The sequence below is a fragment of the Homo sapiens genome, chromosome 12 (assembly GCF_000001405.40).
Source record: "Homo sapiens chromosome 12, GRCh38.p14 Primary Assembly".
Taxonomy (NCBI): Eukaryota; Metazoa; Chordata; class Mammalia; order Primates; family Hominidae; genus Homo; species Homo sapiens.
In genome coordinates, this window is record NC_000012.12 from 16,980,167 (window position 1) to 16,992,505 (window position 12,339).

The 12,339-nt window shown below is 36.5% G+C and overlaps 1 long non-coding RNA gene and 2 pseudogenes across 2 annotated transcripts in view, besides 1 other annotated feature; 2 read left to right on the plus strand and 1 right to left on the minus strand.

Moving 5' to 3' along the window:
• The window catches only part of LOC105369677 (uncharacterized), a 200,713-nt gene extending 192,246 nt beyond the window's left edge, over positions 1-8,467 (minus strand). Inside the window, exons 1-2 of the long non-coding RNA XR_931397.3 lie at positions 8,408-8,467; positions 2,953-3,169 (exon numbers count right to left, since the gene is read on the minus strand). This is a non-coding gene — a long non-coding RNA (uncharacterized LOC105369677). The remainder of the gene's footprint in view (positions 1-2,952; positions 3,170-8,407) is intronic.
• Positions 2,621-3,820: an enhancer, noted in NCBI's record as "MED14-independent group 3 enhancer chr12:17135721-17136920 (GRCh37/hg19 assembly coordinates)". NCBI's record gives its function as "activates an origin of replication core promoter dependent on BRD2, BRD4, P300/CBP and CDK7 cofactors, and independent of MED14, by STARR-seq in HCT116 cells {active_cell/tissue: HCT116}" and the evidence as "EXISTENCE:reporter gene assay evidence [ECO:0000049][PMID:35650434]".
• Positions 8,468-8,580: 113 nt separating the features above from the next.
• SKP1P2 (S-phase kinase associated protein 1 pseudogene 2) lies at positions 8,581-10,462 on the plus strand (annotated as a pseudogene). The gene has a single exon (NR_036619.1). The product of NR_036619.1 is annotated as an S-phase kinase associated protein 1 pseudogene 2 (transcript).
• Positions 10,481-12,115, plus strand: EEF1A1P16 (eukaryotic translation elongation factor 1 alpha 1 pseudogene 16; annotated as a pseudogene).
• Positions 12,116-12,339: the final 224 nt, after the last annotated feature.

The following is a 12,339-nucleotide window of genomic DNA, read 5'->3' on the forward strand; positions in this document are numbered from 1 at the left end:
TTTTGATGGTCTGTTATTAGTTATATATGTGTGTATAATTTTTGTATTTTCCTGCTGTATCAAATATTTTATTAATATATGATATCTTTTTCAGTCTCTTGTAACTTTTTAAATTTAAAGCCCATTCTGTCTGATATTAGCATGACCACCTCTGTTCACCTTTAGTTCCTATTGGCATGAAATAACTTTTTACATCCTTCCACTTTAATTGTGGCCTTTGGATCTAAAATGAATCACTTATAGACACCATATACAGTAGCATCTAGTGATTATGTTTTTAAAAAATCAATTCTATCAACTTTCTTTTGATTGGAGAGTTGAATCTATTTCTATTCAAAGTAATTACTGATAAGAAAGGTCTTACTGCTGTTATTGTGCTGTTTGATTCTTGCAGGCCATATAGCTTTTTGTCCTGCATCTTCTGCATTACTATCTTCTTTTCTGTTTGCTTAACTGATTTTTCATAGGAAAAGATTTTAATTTCCTTCTCATTGCCTTTTGTGTATGTTGTATAAGGATTTTTTTTTGTGGTTGCCCTGGAGACAACATTTATTATCATAAAGTTAAAGCACTCTAATTTGAATGTATACCAATTTGACTTCAATAACATACAAATTTTCTTCTGCTTCACAGCCCTCTCCTCACTCCTTTGAGTTATTAATGTCACAATATTACATCCTCATATACTCTGTGTCCAGAAACAGAAACTGCCATTTTTAGTGCATTAGTCTCTTAAATTACGTGGAAAACAAAATGTGGTATTAAAAACCAAAGGTAAAATAATACTATCTTTTAGACTAATAATTTTTAAAATGTGTTAGTCTCCTAAATCACACACCAAAAAGATTGAGTTATAAACCATTATTAAAATAATATTAGATTTTATAGTTTCCTGTGCATTTACCTTTACTGAGATCTTTATTTCTTCACATGACTTTGAGTTACTGTTTAGCATTATTTTTATTTCAACCTTCAGTAATCCCTTTAGCATTTCTCACAGGACAGATCTAGTGGTAACAAACTTCTTTAGCTAACTTCTATAGCTGTTTTCTTTAGCAAACTTTCTTAGTGGTTTTTTTTTTTTGTCAATTTTGAAAGATAGTTTTTCTGGATATAAGATTCTTTGTCCACAGGGTTTTCTTTTGTTTCAGCACTTTGAAAATATTAGCCCACTCCCTTTCATCCTCCAAAATTTCTGGTGATAAATCTGCTGATGATCTCATCGAAAATCCTGTTTGTTATTAAGTCATTCATCTTCTTGCTTTCAAGGCTCTCTCTTTTTTTGTCTTTCAATAGTTTGATTGTAATGTTTCTCAGTGTGGTTCTCTGTATTCATTCTACCTAGAGTTCATTAAGTTTCTCGAATGTTTATATTCATGTCTTTCATCAAACTTTCAAAGTTTTTAACCATTATTTCTTTAAATAACCTCGACACTACTTCTCTCTCTCTTTCTCTTTTCTGCAACTACTGGGTTGTGGCTGTTTGTCCATTTCATGATGTCCTCAGCTAGCTTAGGCTTTGTTCACTTTTATTCAATTATTTTTCTTTCTGTTATCTTAAGACTATTATTTCCAATTGTCCTATCTTCAAATTCACTGATTCTTTCTTCTGTTCATATATGCCCTTGAATCCCTCTAGTGAAATTTTCATTTCAGTACTTTTATATTTTAGCTCTGAAATTTCTCTTTGATTTTTTTAAGGTTTCCAATCATTTTATTTATATTTTCATTTTGCCCATACATCATTTTCTTAACTTTCTCTACATTATCCTTTAGACCTTTGAGCATCTTTAAGACACTTATTTTAAAGTCTGTCTTGTAGTTCTGCCAGCTGGTCTTTCTAAGGTACAGTTTCTGTAGGTTTTGTATTTTTCCTTTGAATGGGCCTTAGTTTCTCATTTTTTGCATGCTCTGTAATATTTTTGATAAAAATAGTACGTTCCATCTAATAATGTAACTCTGGTAATCAGATTTTTCCCCTTTTTCATGTTTTTTGTTTGGTTTTGTTTTCATTGTATTATGTTTTTTATTGTTATCAACTGTCTTTATACTGAGGATCAATCTGAAGTGTAAACCTGAAATCTTCTGAGGTGTTTTCTGAGCCTGCACCTTTCCCTGGGCATGCATGGAGACCTTCTCATTTTCCCTATATGCTGTTTTTTTTTTAATATCCTAGTATTAAATGACTGATTCCCAAAAGAAGAAAAAAGAAAAAAAAAACTGAAAGGAGAGTGGATAATGCATTAGCCTTTTAAATCCCTGAAAATTACTTCAGCTTAAGGAGAGAGGCTTACAACAAGGTTACGGGGTACAAAATGTCTACCTGCCTCTGTATCTGTACCTCCACGATCAGAAACATGAGGTTAGAATACAGATATGAGGTTAGAATCACTGATAGATGGAAGGCAGAATACTTATTGCCCATGGAATTAGTCAGAATCAGTTTTATATATAATTATATGCTGTATATATGCAATATTACATATACAATATGTAGCATATATTAAACTAATATATTATGGTGTGTATGTATGTGTGTGTATATATATATATATATATACACACACACACACACATATATAGTCTATCTACCTATCTACCTATCTATATAATTGGCTCACAGTTATAGAGTCTGACAAGTCCTAACATCTGAAGGGTGAGTCAGCAAGTTCAAGACCCAGGAAGGTCCAATGTTTTACTTTGAAGATGGTAAGGCAGGTATAATTCTTTCTCATTGGAGTAGCATCAGCCTTTCTGTTGTACTTAAGCCCTGATCTTATTGAATAAGACTCACCCACATTAAAGAGGGAAATCTGCTTTACTTATTTTACCAGCTTAATTGTTAATCTAATTCCAAACATTCCATAGAAACACCCAGAATAATGCTGGACCAAATATCTGAACACCCCATGACCCATCCACTTGACACATAAAATTAACCATCACACCCACCTTGGTTCCTGCTAACTGTGTGAAAATTGCTCTGGAACACGCGTAGGACTGTCTGCCAAGAGGTTGGAGGGTGAGGAATGCGTAGCTGCTGCTGAGAAAGGAGCTGAATTTGACCAAAAGTAATGGCGATTTACCATTTAAGTCTTCCTCTGGAAGTTGCGAAGCTTCATGAGACTCCAGAGTCTAGTCAGACAGCTTCTGGCCATGCAGCTGTTATCTAAGTGGAGAGAGATTACTGGTATCTTTAATTCCACTATCTTCACAGAATCGTCTCTTATTTCTACTATTTTTTGACTTGATATTGTATGTAATGTGATATGGTTTGTCTGTATCCCTACCCAAATCTTATCTTGAATTATAGCTTCCATAATCCCCATGTGTTGTGGGAGGGACCCAGTGGTAAGTAATTGAATCATGGAGGAGGGTTTTTCCCGTGCTGTTCTCATGATAGTAAATAAGTCTCATGAGAGCTGATGGTTTTCTAAAGGGCAGTTCCCCTGCACACGCTCTCTTGCCCGTTGCCACATAAGATGTGCCTTTGCTCCTCCTTTGCCTTCCGCCATGATTGTGAGGCCTCCCCAACCATGTGGATCTGTGAATCCATTAAACCTCTTTTTCTTTATAAATTACCCAGTGTCAAGTATTTCTTCACATGAAAATAAAAATGGGCTAATACATAATGAATATTACATTATTATGCATTCAGATTTTGTCTTTCTTTGTATAACATTGAATTTTCTTTTTTAGAAACCAGCATGGCACATGTATACATACGTAACTAACCTGCACATTGTGCACATGTACCCTAAAACTTAAAGTATAATAATAATAAATAAAAAACAAAACAAAAACAAACAAACAAACAAAAAAGAAAATACTTGTTGGGCAAGTTAATCCTTTAAAATAATTTTTGGTTTTTAAGCATTTTTGACCAAGGTTGTAATAGTATTGGTTTTTAAGCATTTTTAGATCAATATTGTAATAATATTAATTCTAATTCTAGCTTAGTTATGCTACTAAGACATGGGCCACCATGATTCTCTGCAAATTTGCTTATTTATTCAGACATTTCTTCAATTGGCTTTTGGACAAGAAACCCAGAGGGCATAATTTTACCAATATATTTTCATAGGAATTACTGGAGAGAATGAGGTAAAGATACTTTTGAAATAAAGACTTCACAAAGCAGTGGAAATGCAGAACATTAAAGGGAATAACAAAATCTTAAGAGTAATTTTATGTCTTTTTTATGACTTCTTTACATATAACCTATCACTTATCATTTGATGCTGCATGGTTGATGATTTACTCAGATCTATGTTTCAAGTCACATATTTGTTTGTTTTTTTTTATTTTGAGAACTATTAAAAATTTAATTACATGCCCTCAAAATTAATCTTGAAGCCTTACTCCTCAATATAACCATATTCAGAGATAGGACTTGTGAGGAGGTAATTAATGTTGAATGAGGTTAGAGGGTGGGTTTCTAACTCAATAAGGCTAGTGTCCTTATAAGAAGAGGAAGAGAAACCAGAGTGCTCTCTCTCTCTCTGGACACAAACGCAGAAAGGTCATGTGATGACAGATGGGAGGTGCCATTTAAAAGCTGAAAAGAGAGGCCTCACCAGAAACCAACCATGTTGGCAACATAGTCGTAGACAGGCAGCACTCATAACTGCGATAAAGTAAGTGTTTGTTGCTTAAGCCACCCATTCAGTAGTATTTTGTCATGGTAACCTGAGCAGACTAATAAACTCTGTAATTTCTATGACTATTTTTTGCTTCTTTTTTAAACCATTCTAGTCTAATTTGACATTGTCCTGTGTTTTCTACATGATATTTTGATCCCTTTTTATTGTTATTTCTATTCGTTGTGTGAAAATATTATGATTCTTTTATCATTTTACTTTCTCTCATAATGGTTCATTTCTTCATATACTTTATTGGTATGAGTTTATCTTGTGAAGATTTTGTTTTGGTTTTGGTTTTGGTTTAGGAAACCTGCATTCCTTGGGTTAGGAAGCACTCATTCTGGGAGGCTTCACTGTCCTTCCTGCTTTCTCTCTAGGCAGTATATGTCTGTGTAAATTTGAATCCCACACAGGAAGTGGACTAACCCGAGGGTTCTATTTTATTTTTTCATTTTGCCTATTTGTATTTTCGTGGCCAAAGGAAATTGACAGATATTTTCTTTTAATTTTCCTAGTTCTCCTTTTATGAATAAGGTAGGTCTTCTTAATGATCTACTTAATGTAAATAGATCGAGTTTATAATCCTACAGGTTTATGAAATAGATTTCTGTTTTGTCAATTTATATTTGGCCAAAGGAAATTGACAGATATTTTTCTTTTAATTTTCCTAGTTGTCCTTTTATGAATAACATAGCTCTTCATAATTGCCTACTGAATGTAAATAGATCGAGTTCATAATCCTACAGGTTTATGACATAGATTTCCTCCTGATTAGAGATTTAGGATGAAACCCCTAAGGTCTACAGCTGGCTCTGACTAGATATAGAGGAACAATCTTCTAATTAAAGATTGTTTCTCATGTAATGTTTCTTAATGTCCAAAATGTGGAGAAAAATTTTAAGACACATTAAAATAGGCTTTATGTCTGTATCTCTGACCAGATATAGACCTTAGGGATTTCATCCTTAATCTCTAAAGAGGAGGAAATCTATTTCATAAACATAGAGCCATTGACTCCATTGAGCTGTTTTTGTTTCGTCATTGACTCATGGCATTAGTGAGATTCTGTTTAGTTTCTGAAAATTGTGGATTTCTAAGCATTTATTAAGGAGTAGAGTCTTCCATGTTAGTCCAATGTCCCATATAGTGTAGAAATCTATTTAATATCTTTAGGTCTCTGTTTATAGATCTGTAAAATGGAGATAAGAATCCCTAATGTACTGGATGTTCATGAAAGCAGTTTACATTAACATATATTAATGACTTAGCATATTTCCTGGTGAATCATAAATATTCAGTAAATATTAATCATTAATATAATTCTAAAAAAACATCCGTTTAAATTATGACATATGAAGCTATCAAAACTCACCATTTGAAGCAATTTGAAATTATTCACGTTTTATATTTTTTCTAACAAAAGATTGTTTCTCATGTAAAGTTTCCTAACATCCAAAAATGTGGAGGAAAATTCTGAGACACATTAAAATTGCCTTTATGTTATTTGCTTTTGCCTAAGTTTTCTAATATATGTTGAATTTCCTGCAAGTGGCATTATGTTTTGGGTTACTGTCTGAGCTTTGCAATTTTGTACAAAGATTTCATGCAAAAAAGGCTACAGTGTTCTATTCTGCTGGAAGCATTTTTCAGTAAATGTATTTTTAATTTTTCTTATACAACTTTGATGTCTAATGAATGGATTTTCAAATATTATAATTACAAGAGAGAGGCAGTTAGGTCTGAGGGCAAACAATTTGTAATTCAGAACTTCTGATAGTTTTTGATAAGCCAGTTTAAAGTATCTATAAATCTGTGTATATATTATATTAATTTTATTGATTAAAATCATTATAAATTATTTGAAGGATGAATATGGAATCTTTGCTCTTAGAGGAATTAGAGAATGAAAGGAAGAAAGAAGAATGAAGAGAGAGAGAGAGAGAAAGGGAGAAAAGGTGAATCCATTGAGTTAGATTAGTAAATAATTAAGAGTGGTTAAAACAACAATGTTCACACATTTTTAATTTAAGACTGTTCGATCCTTTTAAAATTCATTTGAATCTGCAATTATTTAAGCTGTGAGCTGTGCACTGAAGAGAGAGTAAAACTATAGATTTTAAGATTGTAGCTGGAGGTAATATATAAATCCAATTGATCGGTCTGGCAGAGAATTGATGCCACAATTTGTACCCAGTGGCATTTTCTCTCTCTTACTCAACTGGCTTTAGAACATTATCAGAAAGTCAATATGATATGCCAATATAGTGATATACGTTCAGTCATAAGTCCCTTGTTCAGATTAAAACTTAGGCACTCACATTGTGGATAATAATGGACAGACAGCCTGACTCCCTGTCACTCTGTGTCACTCAGAGAGAACTTGACTTAACTTTACTGCAGGTTACCATACAGTTTTTAGTGTTCCCAAGAGACAGTCAAACCAGTAACAAAGGACGTCTGTCTCTTCAGGACAAAACAAAATTGAAAGAAAGGATAATATATACCTAGAGCTGCAGTCTGACTGCAGAGCATTCTCTAGCAGCCTCCTGTCTCCATCAGCTTTTCCTGATGTTCTGATCAAGTTACCTTTAAAATTCACTCTTGATTTCATGTTTTGATTCTCTTTCTCTTTTAATTTATTAATGCGTTTACTACCTCAGCATTATCTTTACAGCTCATTCCCTTCCAAGCTTGCTCATTCCCATAAAACTATTGAGAAAGTTTTACTGTCTTTCAATTCCTTGTATTGTAATTTAATTCTCAAGGTTATTCTATGTCACAAAGGTTTTTATTTTCTTAATAGTGCAAAGCTCTGTGAGAGGACCCATATACCATGTATTTTATCTTCAGCAAATATATTCAACTTATTGGCATGTTTCAGGCAGAGTATTTAACTAATGTTCAGTACTGTTATCAGAAGTTGTGATTTCATAAACTGTTATGCAGTACATTTGTCACAGCTCCCATGTAAGCTTAGTTAAGGCAACATTCTATAGCATGTGGTGCTTATCAGGTCTACAATGAAGATGACAATTATTTCTGCAATAAATTGTTAAGGCACAACTAGTCCAGATATTTATCAGTGATCGTTCATTTAGGATTTCTTTAATTTTGGACATTAGACAGGCAACATAATGCTTAATTATAGAATAAAAATTTTATTCAGTTTACTGTGTAGTTAAGTTTTGCATAGTTACTCATTTGTACATTTCATTTTAAAACATGTGCTGAATGCCTTTTATGTAATCAGCCTCTTGCACTGTGTGCTAGAATGCAGCTGGGGAATGAAGACACATGGGATGTATACTCAAGTGTGGAAAACACTTAGTTCTCAAACATAAATATATGAAGATGAATGTTGGACTGGGATAGGGTAAAAAACAGAGTGGTCATGAAAGACATCCCTGCAAAAGTGGTATTTGAGTGGAGACACGAAGGAGGAAAGATGTGAACTGTGTGGACATGTGGGAAAATGGCATTCCAGACAGAAAGAAAACCATCTACAAGTCCTGGAAGTTGGGGCATGGCACAGGTTCAAGGAAGAGCAGGGAAACTCACGCATCAGGAAAGAGGGGAAAGAGGGGTGCATCTTTAGGTGCGATTCCCCTGAGCTGTGGATTCTTGTGCAAACGATTTATTAAGAAGCTGATAAGGAGGACGGGGAAGCAGAAAAGCTAAACAAAAGTGCAAGTTCAGGGGAAATCAACACCTCATCCTAATTCTTTGGGTGTTCTGTAATATAAATTACATTGCAAATTCTGTACCGCTTTAAGGTAAGAGAGATGAGCTTTCACACTTCTGCAGCAGTCAGGCATTGGCACTTCTGAACACAAGGTAGCGCTCTGAAGAAGGTCGTAAGTGGAAAGCACACAGAAGCTATGAGAATGGGTACACAGAACCCGAAATAATTTCCCAGGAGATAAGAGAACATGGAATCAGAATACCAGTGCTCATTAATATTCAGCCACCCTTGCATTTAGATGTAGCCAATATATTTATGTTGTAAGTAGATTCCTTTGGTTACAATGAAAATAAAAGACCACAGGAGAATAAGTGATAAATCAACAAGACCAGTTAGGATGCTATTGCAGTATTTTTGGAAAGAAAAACTAGTAAGACTAGAACAGTGAGATATGGAAACAGAACTACTTTTTCTGCAACAGGTTGCTGGCAGAACACAGGTGTCTTGAAAACTATCTCTAAAGATGCTGTGTCGCGCCACTGTAGTGGCTTCTTCCTCTGCCTTTCTCTTCCTCCGCTGTCGCCTCCCAACTCTAGTCAGCCTCCGGCCGGCCGTCTCCTTAACACAGAACACCATGCCTTCAATTAAGTTGCAGAGTTCTGGTGGAGAGATATTTGAAGTTGATGTGGAAATTGTCAAACAATCTGTGACTATCAAGACCATGTTGGAAGATTTGGGAATGAATGATGAAGGAGATCATGACCCAGTTCCTCTACCAAATGTTAATGCAGCAATATTAAAAAAGGTCATTCAGTGGTGCACCCACCATGAGGATGACTCACCTCCTCCCAAAGTTTATGAAAACAAAGAAAAGCGAACAGACGATATCCCTGTTTGGGACCAAGAATTTCTGAAAGTTGACCAAGGAACACTTTTTGAACTCATTCTGGCTGCAAACTACTTAGACATCAAAGGTTTGCTTGATGTTACATGCAAGACTGTTGCCAATATGGTCAACAGGAAAACTCCTGAGGAGATTCACAAGACCTTCAATTTAAAAAATGACTTTACTGGGCCAGGAGCTGTGGCTCACGCCTGTAATCCCAGCACTTTGGGAGGCTGAGGCAGGCGGATCACGAGGTCAGTAGATTGAGACTATCCTGGCTAACACGGTGAAACTCCGTCTCTACTAAATAAATACAAAAAATTTAGCCGGGCGTGGTGGCGGGTGCCTGTAGTCCCAGCTACTCGGGAAGCTGAGGCAGGAGAATGGTGTGAATCCGGGAGGGGGAGCTTGCAGGGAGCCAAGATGGCGCCACTGCACTCCGGCCTGGGCCACAGAGTGAGACTCTGTCTAAAAATAAAAAAAAAAAAAAAAAATTACTTTACTGAAGAGTGGGAAGCCCAGGTACACCAAGAGAACCAGCAGTGTGAAGAGAAGTGAAATGTTATGCCTGACACTGTAACACTGTAAGGATTGTTCCAAATACTAGTTGCACTGCTCTATTTATAGTTGTTAGTATTAGACAAACAGTAGACAAATGCAGCAGCAAGTCAATGGTATTAGCGGAATATTGTCCTCGTTGCATGTGTAGTTTGAGTACAGATTCCAAACCTATGGCTGAGTTTCTTCCAGTATGATCAAAAGTTTCTTTGAATAAAACTGAACTGTAGGTTCTCTGTAAGTGGAATTTTGGCCTTTCCCTCTTTTTTGTAAAGCAATGTCTGCCTAGTTTATTGTCCAGTTAACTTTAGTGACCTTTTAAAAGTTGGCACTGTAAATAAACCAGCTTGCAAAAAAAGTTTTCTGGACTAGAATTAACAAAATGTTATTTTTATTCATGAGTTGGAAACTGGAAAAAGGCTTCTTGAAGTAAATGTTCTGAGTGGAGTTACTAGAATGTCTTCCAACCTCCTGCAGTCAAGGAGAACCACTGTATTGATTAACCTGTATGTAGCAGGGCTCCCTTCATTGCATCTGAGGACTTGTTTTCTCTTTCTTTAATTTTATTTTTAATCCTCTTGGCTTTAAATATATTGCCTAGAGACTCAGTTACTACCCAGTTTATGGTTTTTTTGGGGAAATGTAACTGGACAGTTTGTTAGCTTTTCAATTAAAAAGACACTTCACCTATGGAAAAAAAAAAGAGGGAGAGAAAACTACCTCTAAAAGCCAAAATGGGAAAGGAAAAGACTAATATCAACATTGTCATCACTGGACAAGTAGGTTCAGGCAAGTCCACCACTACTGGCCATCTGATCTACAAATGCATTGACGTCGACAAAAGAACCATTCAAAAATTTGAGAAGGAGGCTGCTTAGATGGGAAAGGGCTCCTTCAAGTATGCTTGGGTCTTGGATAAACTGAAAGCTAAACATGAACCTGGTATCACCATTGGTATCTCCCTGTAGAAATTTGAGACCAGTAAGTACTACGTGAGTATCATTGATGCCCCAGGACACAGAGACTTCATCAAAAACATGATTACAGGGACATCTCAGGCTGACTGTGCTGTCCTGATTGTTGCTGCTGGTGTTGGTGAATTTGAAGCTGGTATCTCCAAGAATGGACAGACCCATGAGCATGCCCTTCTGGCTTACACACTAGGTGTGAAACAACTAATTGTTGGTGTTAACAAAATGGATTCCACTGAGCAACCCTACAGCCAGAAGACATATGAGGAAATCGTTAAAGAAGTCAACACTTACATTATGAAAATTGGCTGCAACCTTGACACAGCAGCATTTGTGCTTATTTCTGGTTGAAATGGTGACAACATACTGTAGCCAAGTGCTAACATGCCTTGGTTTAAGGGACTGAAAGTCACCTGTAAGGATGGCAATACCAGTGGAACCTCACTGCTTGAGGCTCTGGACTGCATCCTACCACCAACTCATCCAACTAACAAGCCCTTTCACCTGCTTCTCTAGGATATCTACAAAAATTGGTGGTATTGGTACTGTTTCTGTTGGCTGAGTAGAGACTGGTGTTCTCAAACCCTGTATGGTGCTCCAGTCAATGTTACAACTGAAGTAAAGTCTGTTGAAATACACCATGAAGCTTTGAGTGAAGCTCTTCCTGGGGACAATGTGGGCTTCAATGTCAAGAACGTGTCTGTCAAGGATGTTCGTCATGGCAACAATGCTGGTGACAGCAAAAACGACCCACCAATGGAAGCAGCTGGCTTCACTGCTCAGGTGATTATCCTGAACCATCCAGGCCAAATAAGTGCTGGCTATGCCCTTGTACTGGATTGTCACACGGCTCACACTGCATGCAAGTTTGCTGAGCTGAAGGAAAAGATTGATCGCTGTTCTGGTAAAAAGCTGGAAGACGGCCCTAAATTCTTGAAGTCTGGTGATGCTGCCATCATTTATATGGTTCCTGGCAAGCCCATGTGTGTAGAGAGCTTCTCAGACTATCCACCTCTGGGTCACTTTGCTGTTGGTCATATGAGACAGACAGTTGCCATGGGTATCATCAAAGCAGAGGACAGGAAGGCTGCTGGAGTTGGCAAGGTCACTAAGTCTGCCCAGAAAGCTCCAAAGCCTAGTGAATATTATCCCTTGTACCTGCCACCCCAGTCTTAATCAGTGGTGAAAGAACTGTCTCAGAACTGTTTGTTTCCATTGGCCATTTAAGTTTAATAGTAAAAGAATGGTTTAATGATTACAATGCATCGTAAAACCGTCAGAAGGAGAGGAGAATGTTTTGTGGACCATGTGTGTATGTGTGTGTGTGTGTGTGTGTGTGTGTGTGGCAGTTTTAAGTTATTAGTTTTTAAAATCAGTACTTTTTTTTTTTTTTTGAGACAGTCTCACTCTGTTGCCCAGGCTGGAGTGTAACAGCATGATCTCAGCTCACTGCAACCTCCACCTCCGAGGTTCAAGTGATTCTCCCGCCTCAGCCTCCTGAGTAGCTGGGATTACAGGTACCGGCCATCATGCCCAGCTAATTTTTGTATTTTTGTAGAGACAGGATTTCACCATGTTGGCAAGGCTGGTCTTGAACTC